Source organism: Homo sapiens, chromosome 17 (genome assembly GCF_000001405.40).
Source record: "Homo sapiens chromosome 17, GRCh38.p14 Primary Assembly".
Lineage (NCBI taxonomy): Eukaryota > Metazoa > Chordata > Mammalia > Primates > Hominidae > Homo > Homo sapiens.
In genome coordinates, this window is record NC_000017.11 from 39,118,705 (window position 1) to 39,133,267 (window position 14,563).

At 48.0% G+C, this 14,563-nt stretch overlaps 1 protein-coding gene across 17 annotated transcripts in view, besides 1 other annotated feature; it reads right to left on the bottom strand.

Annotated features, from left to right (window-relative positions):
* The window catches only part of PLXDC1 (plexin domain containing 1), an 89,655-nt gene that overhangs the window by 55,392 nt on the left and 19,700 nt on the right, over positions 1-14,563 (bottom strand). For 2 of the 17 annotated variants that reach the window (XM_047436431.1, XM_047436433.1), the window contains exon 2: positions 8,201-8,300. The exons of the other annotated variants lie outside the window; for them this stretch is intronic. In XM_047436431.1, coding sequence (XP_047292387.1) covers positions 8,201-8,251 — 51 coding nt within the window. In that variant the 5' untranslated portion in view covers positions 8,252-8,300. The remainder of the gene's footprint in view (positions 1-8,200; positions 8,301-14,563) is intronic. 17 annotated transcript variants of the gene reach the window in all.
* Positions 482-531: an enhancer, noted in NCBI's record as "active region_12089". NCBI's record gives its function as "activates an Ori minimal core promoter by ATAC-STARR-seq in GM12878 lymphoblastoid cells {active_cell/tissue: GM12878}" and the evidence as "EXISTENCE:reporter gene assay evidence [ECO:0000049][PMID:35858748]".

Below are 14,563 nucleotides of genomic sequence, written 5' to 3' on the forward strand. Positions count from 1 at the left end.
CCCTGTGCTTCCTCAGACTGATTGGACATAGGTAATCACATGATTCAAAAGCAGCTCATCTATTGGAAGCCTACAATCTACAGCTTGTGCAGCCTGAGCCAATCAGATCACCACCCGGGAGGGTGAAATTGGGAAACTGAGAAGCTGGCAGCAAGAGAGCTGAGTTGAAAGATCTTGGAGACTTAGGAACTGAAACCATTCAAGATGAACAGAGTCTGTGAGAAAAAAAGAAAAAAAGGAACCGAAACCATCCTGAGCTGTCTGCAGAAGACTTCTGATCCACAGAAAGGAAAGGCAGACCTTATATACATTTGGCTTCAATAAACATATGATGAATTAATGAAAAGGAGGCAAGAACTGGGGGAGGGGACCTGGTTCCCAACAGCTTTCCAGCTTCCTTGAGGTCTGGCTGTCCTTCATGTCCAGCCCTTGGGTCTCCCATGATCGTCTTCTGCACCCTCACGATAATCCTTCTCTGTGGGACAGCTCAAATAGCTCCTCAGAACCAAAAGGACCTTAAATAGAATAGCCTTGCTTATGAGGTGATCAGAGGAAAAACCTCCAGGGTGAGCCCAGGCAGTCCTTCACTGGTACAGACAGCAAGAGTGTGAATGAGCCCACCACAAAGCAAGGGTACGTGTTTGAGATTATGAATGTGCAAATTACCCTGATCTGATCACTATACATTATATGTATTGAAACATTACTATGTACCCCATGAATATGTACAATTATTTGTCAATTAAAAAATTAAATTAGATCGGGCGTGGAGGCTCAGGCCTGTAATGCTGGTACTTTGGGAGACCCAGGTGGGTGGATCACTTGAGCTCACGAGTTCGAGACCAGCCTGGGCAACATGTTGAAACCACCATCTCTACAAAAAATACCAAAACTGGCCAGGGGTGATGGCGTGCTCCCATAGTCCGAGCTATTCAGAGTCTGAGGCAGGAGAATCGTTTGAGCCTGGGAAGTTGAAGCTGCAGTGAGCCAAGATCGCACCACTGCACCCCAGCCTGGGCGACAGAGTGAGACCCTGTCTCAAAAAAAATTTTTTTTTAACTTCATTTTTAAAAAGAATATGAATGAGAAGAGAGAACTGAGAAACTAAATTTCTGGGAGAACTTTTCCCTGGCAACACATCAGCCACTGTAAACTAAAAATAAAATCCTAAGTCCCCCAACCAACTGAATGGACCCCCTCTTGGCCAATGAGACCCCAGAAAAGCTGAGTTCCCAGCCATAATGGGATGGGAGACCAGACACACCTCATTGTAACCCCTCCCTTTTGCAGTTTAGACACAACTACCAGCATTAATATTAAAATAGAGATCAGAAGACAGACAGAATGGACTCTGTGGCAATATGATATCAAATTATAAAGAGGACCTAAGGCCATGACAGGCACGGGTTAAATCACGCACCCCTGCAGGCCACTCTGACCCAGCGCTTTTTTGTTTTGTTTTTTGAGATGGAGTTTCGCTCATGTAACACAGGCTGGAGTGCAATGGCACCACCTCGGCTCACGGCAACCTCTGCCTCCCAGGTTCAAGCGACTCTCCTGCCTCAGCCTCCCAAGTAGCTGGGATTACAGGCACCCGCCACCACGCCCGGCTAAATTTTGTATTTTTAGTAGAGACCGACCTCAGGTGATCCACCCTCCTCGGGCTCCCAAAGTGCTGGGATTACAGGTGTGAGCCACTGCGCCTGGCCTGACCCAGCATATTGAGTCTTGCTCTGACATATCACATGACATATCAGATAAGGCATGAGATGATGTGACTCTGGCAGATCATACGATACATGGCATGATATGATTGGCAGATCACATGATGATTAGCAAACTTCTTTATCTTAAACATTCTTTTCCACTGACTCCAAGTTTTCTATTTTTATTTATTTTAGGTTTTTTTTTTTTTTTTGAGACAGGGTCTCACTCTCTTGCCTGATCATGGCTCACTGCAGCCTCAGTCCTCGACCTCCAGGGCTCAAGTGATCCTTCCGCCTCAGCCTCTTGAGTAGCTGGGATCACAGGCATATGCCACCACACCCAGCTAATTTTTTTTTTTTTTTTTTTTTTGAGACAGAGTTTTGCTCCTGTTGCCCAGGGTGGAGTGCAATAGCACAATCTCGGCTCCCTGCAACCTCCCGGGTTCAAGTGATTGTCCTGCCTCAGCCTCCCAAGTATCTGGGATTACAGGCATGCGCCATCACGCGCAGCTAATTTTGTATAATTTTGTATTTTTAGTAGAGACAGGGTTGGGATTACAGGCATGAGCCACTGCACCTGGCCAAACACCCAGCTAATTTTTAAATTTTTTGTAGAGTCAAGGTTTCACCATGTTGCCCAGTCTGGTCTCAAACTCCTGGACTCAAGCGATCCTCTCACCTCGGCCTCCCAAAGTGCTGGGATTACAGGCATGAGCCACTGCACTTGGCCTCTACTGACTCCAGGTTTTTGAACAAAGCCTTACTCCTTTAACCAATTGCAAATTAAAGAATCTCTGAACCCACCTATGACCTGTGAGCTCTCACTTCAAGATAGCTCACCTTTTTTGGGCCAAAGCAACATATAAACTCCATATATTAATTTATGACTTTGCCGGTAACTTCTGCTTCCCTAAAATGTATAAAGCAGAGTTGTCACCTGTCTCAGGATCACTTACTCAAGGCTTCTTGGGTTTGTGTTTTCTCCAGGCTGCAATCGCTCATAGAGGCTCAGAATAAACCTCCTAGTTTGATTTCTCTGCCAACACCACTGTGATTCTTCTTCTCTAAAGTCAATCACTGCTAGCTTCTTGGCTGGCCATTGGGAAAAAGAGTCCCATGGCTTGAAATTCACCAACTTTGGGGATACTTCCCAACTGCCACCATAGGCCCCTTATCACGCTGCCACCCACATGGGCAGTTTTGATGGAGGAACCCCACCCATGGCAAAGACTAATAACTGCCTCCCAATAACCACTCTCTCCTTCTTCCTTGAGTTGCAGAGGCTCCCAGTTATAGCTAGGCACACAGTCACACAGTTAAACCATATTTCCCAGCCCTCCTTATGGCTAGGTATGGCTACATGACTATGTCTGGCCAATGGAAGATGAGCAGAAAGATTGCCCGTAATAAGAATGGGTGACCGGGTCCGGAGGCTCACCCCTTTGGGAGGCTGAGGCCGGCAGATCACTTGAGGCCAGGAGTTCGAGACCAGCCTGGCCAACATGGCGAAACCCCATCTCTACTAAAAATACAAAAATTATCTATGTGTGGTGGTGGGCGCCTGTAATCCCAGCTGCTCGGGAGGTTGACACAGGAGAATCACTTGAACCCAGGAGGTGGAGGTTGTCGTGAGCTGAGATCACGCCACTGCATTCTAGCCTGGTTGACAGTTCAAGACTCTGTCAAAAAAAAAAAAAAAAAGGGGGGGGGGACTGGGTGCAGTGACTCACGCCTGAAATCCCAGCACTTTGGGAGGCCGAGGTAGGCGGATCACTTGAAGTCAGGAGTTTGAGACCAGCCGGGCCAACATGTTGAAACCCCGTCTCTACTAAAAATATTTAAAAATTAGCCAGGCGTGGTGAGGCACACCTGTAATCCCAGCTACTCAGGAGGCTGAGGCAGGAGAATCACTTCAGCCAAATCGCACCACTGCACTCCAGCCTGGGTGACAGAGCGAGACTCTGTCTCAAAAAAAAAAAAAAAAAAAAAAAAAAGACTGGGGTGCCCTCTCTCTGCCTGGCTGGGATGCAGATGTGATGGTGGGAGCTGAAATAGCCATCTTGAGCTACAAAATGGAAAGCACATGTTTTAGAAGGCAGAGCCGCAAGATAGCAGGAACCTAGGCCCCCAACACCAGGCCAGTCTATCCCAGGGTATGGTCACTATAATCCATATTGATGTGCCTCTTAAAAAGGATGCGGAGACCTTGCCTGGCAGTGAACCTTCCCAAGGAATTCACACAATTCACAGCCCATTGTAGAAGCTCTGACCAGGATGACTTGACATTACAAAGGAGCTCAGTGAGGGTTACACGAGCCACGCCGCTTGGCAAGTCCACCAAATGGAATGATGTTTCCTTGAAATGTGTGCAAGAAGCCCTGATCAATAATCCACATTTGTTTTGGGAGGCAGTGTGATATGGATTTCAAACATTTTTGGTCCTGAAATCATTTCTTCCAACAAATCTTTCATAGAAGCTCAATACACAAATCACATCAAAGTAAAGCCACATTGGGAGAAGGACAGAGAAGGGTTGGAGCCTAGCTTGCTGTGCTACTTCCTTTTCTGCCACCCTCACTCCCACAGCAGCCCGTGAAGCGCTCCTCAGACCCTCGGGGTTCCATGGAGCACAATTCGAAAACCATTGCTCTAGGATCAAACATATTGTCTGTGGAGTAAGACAGACCCAAGTTCCAAAATGGGCTCCATTATGTAATGGTTGGTGTCCAGCATTCCTCTCTTCTCTGAGGGTCAGTTCCCTCATCAGTGACCTTTCTTGCAAGGTTCCTCTTTTTTTGAGACGGAGTTTCACTCCTGTTGCCCAGGCTGGAGTGCAATAGCCGCATCTCAGCTCACTGCAAACTCCACCTCCTGGATTCAAGTGATTCTACTGCCTCAGCCTCCCAAGTAGCTGGGATTACAGATGTGAGCCACCACACCAGCTAATTTTTGTAATTTTAGTAGAGACGGGGTTTCACCATGTTGGCCAGGCTGGTCTCGAACTCCTGACCTTAGGTGATCCACCCGCCTCGGCCTCCCAAAGTGCTGGGATTACAGGCATGAGCCACCGCGCCTGGCCTCTTGCAAGGTTCTTGAAAGGGGTTTCTTGAAAGGATTAGACAAAACATATCAACACAAAGCTCTTAGCCCAGTGCCTGGCCCACAGGAGGTATTTGAGAAGTGGGAGCTATTACCCTGATTTGTTTGGGCCTTTCCAGGAAAGGGCTTGATTGTGGAGGCTGCCTCCTCAAAGCAACCCCCAGCTCCATCTGAAACGTCAGCAGTTACAGTATTTCTTCCGCCTCAATTAGTCATGCCCAGAGGCCCGACAGGCACTTCATTTCTGACAGCGGGGCAGCATTTACCTTGGCTGAGCTCAAGACATTTCTGGACAGGAACTCTGGCTAAGCTGTCACAGTCGGCCCATCACCTGCCAGCCAACTGGCAGGAGGAAATGCTGGGGCAAGCAACCAAGGACGTCCTGCAGGGCTGCTAGAGAGGCTTGGCTGGCCAGGCTGGTCAGGATGGTGCTGAGGCAGCTGGGTCCAACCCAGGAGGCGTGGATGGGATTACTGTGGGGAGGGGGACATCCCAGTCCCTGCCCTTCGATCGCAGGGCACATATACCAGGAAGCCTTACAAGGCCAACAGAAATGCATTCTAGATCCTGCTTTTCCAAGAGCACCCCTGGGCCGCAACATCAGCATCACTGGGAGCCCGTTAGAAATTCAGATTATTGGGCCCAACCCCAAGCCTGCTGAATCGGCATCTGCCTTTGGAAGCACTTCCAAGGGGATTTTTTGCAAAGCACAGTTTCAGAGGTCCTGGTCCAGAAGTACCTTCTGCATCAACACGTCACTCATTTTTGTCCCTGAAGAGACGGTGGGTAAGAGCTCAGACTGCCTGGGCACTGTGGCTCACGCCTGTAATCCCAATACTATGAGAGGCAAAGGAGGGAGGGTCACTTGAGGCCAGGAGTTCAAGACCAGCCTGGGCAACATAGGGAGCCTCCATCTCTACAAAGAAAGACAAAACTAGCTGGGTGTGGTGGAGCACATCTGTAGTCCCAGCTACTAGGGAGGCTGAGGTAGGAGGATCACTGGAGCCCAGGAGGTCAAGGCTGCAGTGAACTATGTTCACGCCACTGTGTTCCAGCCTGGGCAACAGAGCAAGACCCTATCTCAAAAAAGTTTTTAATTAAATTAAGTTAAATTGTGAGAAAGAGCTTAGGCTCTGAAGGCAAAGACCTGGGTTCTTGTCCTGGTTTTGCCACTTACTGGCTGTGTGATCCTGAATAGGCAACTTCACCTCTCTGTTCCAGATAGCTAAAGAGAGACATGCCTGCCTCATCAGGTAGTTGTGTGGATTAAACATAAAGCCATACAATGAGGCTGGCACTCAGGAAGGGCTTATTTATTTATTTAGAGACAGTCTCACTCTGTTACCCAGGCTGGAGTGCAGTGGTGCCACCTCAGCTTACTGCAACCTCCACCTCCCGGGCTCAAGTGATCCTCCCACCTCAGCCTCTTGAGTAACTGGGACTACAGGCACAGGCCACTACGCCCAGCTAACTTTTTTTGTAATTTTTATAGAGCCAGGGTCTCACCCTATCAGCCAGGCTGGTCTCAAACTCCTGGGCTCAAGCAATCCTCCCTCCCTCCGCCTCCCAGAGTGCTGGGATTACAGGCCTGAAGCGCAATTCCTTTTAATGTCCCCTGTTATTATTTTCTCTCACCTCATGTATCCATACAATAACCCCCAGCTGCCCTCTGGACATAGCCAAACCTCAGGTTGAAATAAACCCACACAGAACATTTGTCATCACAGAAATGCAGGAAGTATGTCCCCTGGTATAACCCTGCAAGGGGAGATCCAGGCTGGACAAAGAGCTCTGCCTCGCTGAGGGTCTGGGGTAGAGAGATGTCAGAGTGAGTGAGGCTGACCTAAGAAAGCCCTGGAAACAGGGCTTTGGATTAGGCTTGTACAGAGGATATGGACTGGCATTGGGGGTATTAAGCATTTCTTAATACCCCTAACAGTTCATGGAAATGGAAAAATCATCCTATCCTGGCAATGACCCAAATGTGGGCTTTTTGAGGGATTGTGATAGGGTAAATATAGACCATATAGCCACAGAGAATTAGGACAAGGACAGACAAAAACAAAAACAGGCCTTCCCCATCCCTCATCTGGTCCCATGCTGGCCTATTTTCTTCTAGTGTTTTTTTATATGTATGTTAATTTCACAGTCACAGTTCTGCTGATCATGCAGTTTCATGGACCGCTTCTGTCACATTTCATGATATCAAAAGCAGCTTTTGATGGTAAACAAGGTATTTCCAAACATCATTTGTAACAGCTGCATGACAGTCCACTCAGGAGAAAACTCACAATTTTCTTCACTATTTCTCTTTTATTGAGCATTTAGGTAGCTTCCAATTTTGATGCTTTTATAAATACTACTGTGATGAACTTGTTGATACATTTTCCATATCTTGGATGACTTCCTCTGCTTCGTAGCCTTTGGTATAAAGCAATGCTTCTCAAACATGAGTGCACATGGGCCGGGCGCGGTGGCTCACACCTGTAATCCCAGCACTTTGGGAGGCTGAGGCAGGCGGATCATCTGAGGTCAGGAGTTCGAGACCAGCCTGGCCAACATAGTGAAACCCTGTCTCTAATAAAACTATAAAAATTAGCCGGATGTGGTGGCGCATGCCTGTAATCCTAGCTACTTGGGAGGCTGAGGCAGGAGAATCGCTTGAACCCAGGAGGTGGAGGTTGCAATGAGCCAAGATCGCACCACTGCACTCCAGCCTGGGTGACAAGAGTGAAACTCCGTCTCAAACAAACAAAAAAAAACCAACATACAAACAAAAAAGAGTGTGCATGTGAATTACAGTAAGGCCTCACTCAACATTGTTGATGGGTTCTTGGAAACTTTGACTGTAAGCAAAGCAACGTATAATGAAACCAATTTTACCATAAAGTAATTGATATAAGCAAGAGTTAAGTTCCTAGGGCATATTTCCAGTTGCTTCTAAATAAAGTCAAACTACTAAATAAAGACCAAAACACTTCTAATATTAAACAGACATAAATGTGAGTTATGTAATACATACATTTAAAAAAGACTCATAAAAACAAGTTAGAATAATTATTTACACAATTATTCCAGTTCAGGGTCTCTGGTGGCTGGAACCTATCCCAGCGGCTCAGGGAACAAGGCGGGAACTGACTCAGAGCCCATTCTATCACAGGGCGCACTCACACATATTCACGCTCACTCATCCTGGGACAACTTAGACACTCTAGTGAACCTAAAGTGCACATCTTTGATATGTGGGAGGAAACCAGAGTACCCGGAGACGTGAAGAGAACATGCAAACTCCACATCAGTGGTGCCCCCAGCTGGGAATCCATTTATTTTTTTCTCATCAACACTACAACAAAACAACGGTGACCACAACGATGTCATTGGAGGACCTACTGTACCTGGGAATCGGATTCTGATTCTGCAGGTCTGAGGACTCCGACATTCCACATTTCCCACGAGCTCCCAGGCACTGCCAGTGCTGCCGGTCCCTTCCCACACCTTGAAGAGTATTAAGAATATGAAAGATAACACCTGAAGCTTCAAGGCCAGGAAATCCTCTTTTGTGACTACAATCCTATTTTTGTACTTTCAGGTAAGATCTGGGAGGGATCTTTCTAGTTAACTTTCTCAAGCAATCAGTGCATCTGATTTTTAGAACAACCCTATGAGAAATGATCAGTCCCACCTTACAGATGAGGAAACAGGTTTAGAGTTAAGGCCCAGCAAGGATACGCACGGTCTACCTCATCTGGGACCTGAGGAGGGTGAGCAACTGCCCCAGTTTACATAGAACTTAGGAATTTCCAGGATGCCAGACTCTCAGAACTAAAGCCGGGACCATCCTGGGAAACCCGGGATAGTTGATCCCCTAGACCAGAGCCGAATTCCAAGTCAGCTTATGCTTCCCACTCCCACTGTGTGCTAGGCCCTGAATGGACATTACCGCACAACACCTTTGCAATAACACTTCAGACAATAGCATCCCCATTAGACAATGAAGAAATGGGCTCCTCAGTAGAGGGGCTAAGAAACTCGCCCAAGACAAAAAGACAAACATTCTAATTAAAAAATTGGCAAGGGGGAAGAAACGGACAAATGACTTGAATAGATATTCCTCCAAAGAAGATATAAAAATAGCCCAAAAAGACATGAAAAGATGCTCAATAAGGCCGGGTGCAGTGGCTCATGCCTGTAATCCCAGCACTTTGGGATGCCGAGGCGGGCGGATCACGAGGTCAAGAGATTGAGACCATCCTGGCTAACACAGTGAAACCCCATCTCTACTAAAAATACAAAAAATTAGCCGGGCATGATGGTGGCGGGCGCCTGTAGTCCCAGCTACTCGGGAGGCTGAGGCAGGAGAATGGCGTGAACCGAGGAGGTGGAGATCGCACCACTGCACTCCAGCCTGGGTGACAGGGTGAGACTCCATCTCACAAAAAAAAAAAAAAAAAAAAAAAGATGCTCAATATCAGTATTCATTAGGGAAATGCAAATCAAAACTACAATGAAGTACCACTTCATACCCACTAGGACAGCTCTCTCTCTCTCTCTCTCTCTGTCTCTCTCTCTCTCTCTCTCTCTCTATGTGTATATATATATATATATGTATATATATATGTGTATATATATGTATATATATGTGTGTATATATATGTATATATATGTATATATATATGTGTGTATATATATGTATATATATGTGTGTGTGTATATATATATTTTTTTGAGACAGAGTTTCACTCTTGTTGCCCAGGCTGGAATGCAGTGGCGCGATCTCGGCTCACTGCAACCTCCACCTCCTGGGTTCAAGCGATTCTCCTGCCTCAGCCTCCTGAGTAACTAGGATTACAGGCACAAGCCACCATGCCCAGCTAATTTTTGTATTTTTTTAGTAGAGACGGGGTTTCATCATGTTGGCCAGGGTGGTCTCAAACTCCTGACCTCAGATGATCCGCCCACCCAGGCCTCCCAAAGTGCTGGGATTACAGGCATGAGCCACAGCACCCAGCCCTATAATTTTTTAAAAAAGGGAAAATAACAAGTGTTGGCGAGGATGTAGAGAAATCGGAACCCTCATACATTGCTGGTGGGAATGTAAAATAGTTCAGTTGCTGTGGAAAACAGTCTGGCAGTTCCTCAAAAAGTTAAACACAGAGTTACCATATGACCCAGCAATTCCACTTCTAGGTATAGATCCCAAGGAATTCAAAACAGATACTCGCCGGGTGCAGTGGCTCACGCCTGTAATCCCAGCACTTTGGGAGGTCGAGGTGGGCAGATCACGAGGTCAGGAGATCGAGACCAGCCTGGCTAACATGGTGAAACCCTGTCTTTACTAAAAGTATGAAAAATTAGCTGAGTGTGGTGGCACGCGCCTGTAGTGCCAGCTACTCGGGAGGCTGAGGCAGGAGAATGGCTTGAACCTGGTAGGTGGAGGTTGCAGTGAGCCGAGATTGTGCCACTGCACTCCAGTCTAGGCAACAGAGCAAGACTCCATCTCAAAAGAGAGAAAAAAACAGATACTCATGCCAGATGCGGTGGTGCACGCCTGTAATCCCAGCACTTTGGGAGGCCAAGACAGGTGGATCACTTGAGGCCAAGAGTTCAAGACCGGCCTGGTCAACATGGCAAAATCCCATCCCTACTAAAAATACAAAAATTAGCTGGGCGTGGTGGCACACACCTGTAATCCCAGCTACTCGGGAGGCTGAGGCACAAGAATTGCTTGAACCCAGGAGACAGAGGTTGCAGTGAGCCAAGATCATGCCATTGCACTCCAGCCTGGGCGACAGAGCGAGACTCTGTCTCAAAAAAAAAAAAAAAAAGAGGCTGGGCACAGTGGCTCAAACCTGTAATCCCAGCACTTTGGGAGGCTGAGGTGGGTGGATCACGAGGTCAGGAGATCGAGTCCATCCTGGATAACACGGTGAAACACCGTCTCTCCTAAAAATACAAAAATTAGCCAGGCATGGTGGCACGCGCCTGTAGTCCCAGCTACTTGGGAGGCTTAGGCAGGAGAATCGTTTGAACCCGGGAGGCGGAGGTTGCAGTGAGCTGAGATTGCGCCACTACACTCCAGCCTGGGCGACAGAGCAAGACTCTGTCAGAAAGAAAGAAAGAAAAGAAAGAAAGAGAGAGAGAGAGAGAGAAAGAAAGAAAGAGAGAGAGAGGGAGAAAGAAAAGAAAGAAAGAAAGAAAGAAGGAAAGAAAGAAAGAAAGAAAAGAAAGAAAGGAAAGAAAAGCAAGAAAGAAAGAAAGAGAGAAAGAAAAAGAAAGAAAGAGAAAGAAAGAAAGAAAGGGAAAGAAATTTAAGTACATTTACACATGTTCACAGCAGCACTATTCACAACAGCCAAAAGGTAGAAACAGCCTAAATGTCTATCAATAAATAAACGGATAAACGAATTATGGTACATTCATACGATTAAATATTATACAGCCATAAAATGGATAAACCTTGAAAATATTATGCTAAGTGAAAGAAACCAGACATAAAACATCACATATTATATGATTCCATTTATATGATATATCCAGAATGTGTAACTTCATAGAAATAAAACACAGATTGGTGGTTGCCAGGGGTTGGGGTGGAGGAGTGAACAGGGAGCAACTGCTTAATGGGTAAAGGGTTTTCTTTTGGGTAATGAAAATGTTTTGGGGCCAGGCACGGTGGCTCATGCCTGTAATCCCAGCATTTAGGGAGGCCAAGGCAGGAGGATCACTTGCGTCCAGGAGTTCAAGACCACCCTGGGCAACTTAGTGAGATCTTGTCTCTACAAAAAATTTAAAAATTAGCCTGTTGTAGTGGCATATGCCTATAGTCCCAGTTACTTGGGAGGCTGAGGTGGGAAGATCCCTTGAGCCCAGGAGGTCGAGGCTGCAGTGAGCCATGATCCCACCACTGCATTCCAACCTGGGCAACAGAGCAAGACCCTTTCTCAAGAACAAAAACAAAACAGAAAAGGTTTTGGAACTGGATGGGGGGTTGGTTGCACAACATTGTGAATTTATTAAATGCCACTGAATTGTTCACTTTAAAATGGTTTATTTTATTTTACTTTATTTTATTTTTGAGACAGTCTTGCTCTGTCGCCCAGGCTGGAGTGCAGTGGCGTGATCCCAGCTCACTGCAACCTCCACTCTGGGTTCAACCAATTCTCCTGCCTCAGCCTCCCAAGCAGCTGGGATTACAAGCATGCCACCACGCCCGGCTAATTTTGTATTATTTTAGTAGAGACGGGGTTTCACCACGTTGGCCGGGTTGGTCTCGAATTCCTGACCTCAAATGATCCACCCAACTCGGCCTCCCAAAGTGCTGGGATTACAGGCATGAGCCACCGCACCCAGCCTAAAATGGTTAATTTTATATTATGTGAATTTCATCTCAACAAAAAAGAAAAAAAGAAACTAACCAATCAACCAACACACCACCCTGCCCAAGGAGAAAGGAAAATGGCCTGCAAGAGGAACCGGACCGGGAGAAAACCACCTGGGGCTGAGTAGCCGGGAGCAGTGTTGTGACCCGAAGCGGAGGGGAGACCACCAGGACCAAGAACCATCATGGGCCTCATATTCTGCTCTTAAATCAACTCTGTGAGATTGGTATTTACCACCCATTTGGGAAATGTGAAGCTAGCAAGGGCTTGGAGGGGCTCTAAATGTCAGGTTTGTTAACTGAGGGGTTAAGTATCCAGCCCAAGGCTATGCAGCTGGTCTGTGTCAGGACCAAGATCGAGGGCCAGGACTGCCGGGCTCCTCCACAGCACTGGAGACGACATCTGCACTCCACCTCCTGCCTCCCTGGACATGCTTTCTTCTCACAGAATCTCTTCTCTCTTTTTCTTTTCTTTTTTTTTTAGGCGACAGAATCTCGCTCTGTCGCCCAGGCTGGAGTGCAGTGGCATGATCTTGGCTCACTGCAACCTCCACCTCCAGGTTCAAGCGATTCTCCTGCCTCAGCTTCCCGAGTAACTAAGATTATAGGCGTGCACCACCATGCCCAGCTAATTTATGTATTTTTAGTAGAGACGGGGTTTCACCATGTTAGCCAGGCTGGTCTTGAACTCCTGACCTCAAGTGATATGCCCTCCTTGGCCTCCCAAAGTGCTGGGATTACAGGCCTGAGCCACCATGCCCAGACAACCTTTATCTTCTCTCTCTTCAAAACTTGGCTCCTAACTTTCCCCTCCCTCCACCCACCCCCCAACTCTGCTCCCAGAATCTTCCGGGATTGGCCTCCTTACCTCGTTCCCTTGAGCACCCTGGTGGGGCCAGGTTCTTGGAGGAGCACTGCTTGCCCCCTGTGGTTTGTGCGAGGAGTCTGACTGGCTTCCTGTCTCCCAAGGCCCTGCGTTCTGAAAACCTTCTTTCGGGAGCTGCCTCCTTTGGAAGGTTGTAGAAACCAGGCAGGTCTTGCACTCTCCCTGCCAACTGTCTTGGATGATGGGGTCCCTGCCCTGACACAGGGTCCCTCGCATTCCTGGGGCCTGCTATGGTGATGTACAAGCCAGGAGGTTTTGCTTGAGCCAGAGAAGAGAGAGGAATTCAGGGATGCTGGGCCATGGGGGAGATTGGGAGGTAAGGGGGGTGAAAGGGAGGGGCACCTCCTCAAATCTAAATGTTCTTATGCTTGATTTCCCCCAAACTCTGGCTCTAAACCTGAACCATGGAACCAAGTAAACATTGGAGTAGAATTTTGAAATCCTCAAAGGAAGAGAACCTTTGCCAAGACCTCCCCTTTCCAGCCTCTTTGAGAATAAATTGTGGCACATCCCAGGGTCTCTGACTCAGCACATCCCAGGATCTCTGACTCAGCACATCCCAGGATCTCTTGACTCAGCACTATGGCTTCCCCAGTTCTCCTGCTCCCGTCCCCGAAACGCCCAGTGTCCCCAGGGCCTCAGAATTGGTCTTGGTGGAAAATCTCCGGAAATCTTGAGTCTGGACAAGAGTCCTGTTTCCACTGTGATGTGGTGGTAGATTGGGTGTGGGAATGCATTTTAGGGAGGAGATGGTTCTGACCAGGGTCCTCGGAGCTGCCAGCTCACCCTGGGACTGGGAGGGCAGGCTAGACGCCTCGAGGCCTCCAAAGCAAGAGGTTCTGAATTGGAAGGAGCATTGTGGTGAGATGGCCTGGCGGGGGGTGCCTGGCAGAGGCACTGGGCAGAGAGGGCTGAATGGAGGCAGCTGGGCAGAGGGTCTGGATGGAGGAGCTGAGTCAAGGGGGCTGAGCCAGAGGGGAGGTCCGCAGCCAGGAGGGTTACTGAGGAACGATGGAGGAAGGTGATGGGGCACTGGGGTTTGTGTAGGGGGAGGCAAAAGGCATGGCAGCCCACCCGCCAGCCCTCAGTCCCTTGATATGGCCCCAGAGCAGAGGGTCCCAGAGCCTGGTTGCTGTTGGCCAAACCCAGCTGTGATACCAGATGAACAGAGGAAGTGTTCCTGTTGAAACCCAAGAAAACTCTGTGAGACAGACCAAATCAAACTTGCTGAAACAGCCCCTTCCCGCCACTCTCCTCTTATCTTGCCCACCCTCTGCCGCCAACCCATCATCTAGATGAGACTTCCTTAGGCCACAGTGATGCTGAGCTGTCAGAGGCATGGGAGAAACAGGTGACTCTGGACACCTGTGCCGGACTCCCAGCCAGGGCCACCCATTCTCCAGGTTGGGGGTGGGCAGATAGTGGGAAAGGGCGTTTGCGGTCTGGCTGCTGGGGGTATCACCAGCATTCTCAGGTGAACACCACCCAGAACAA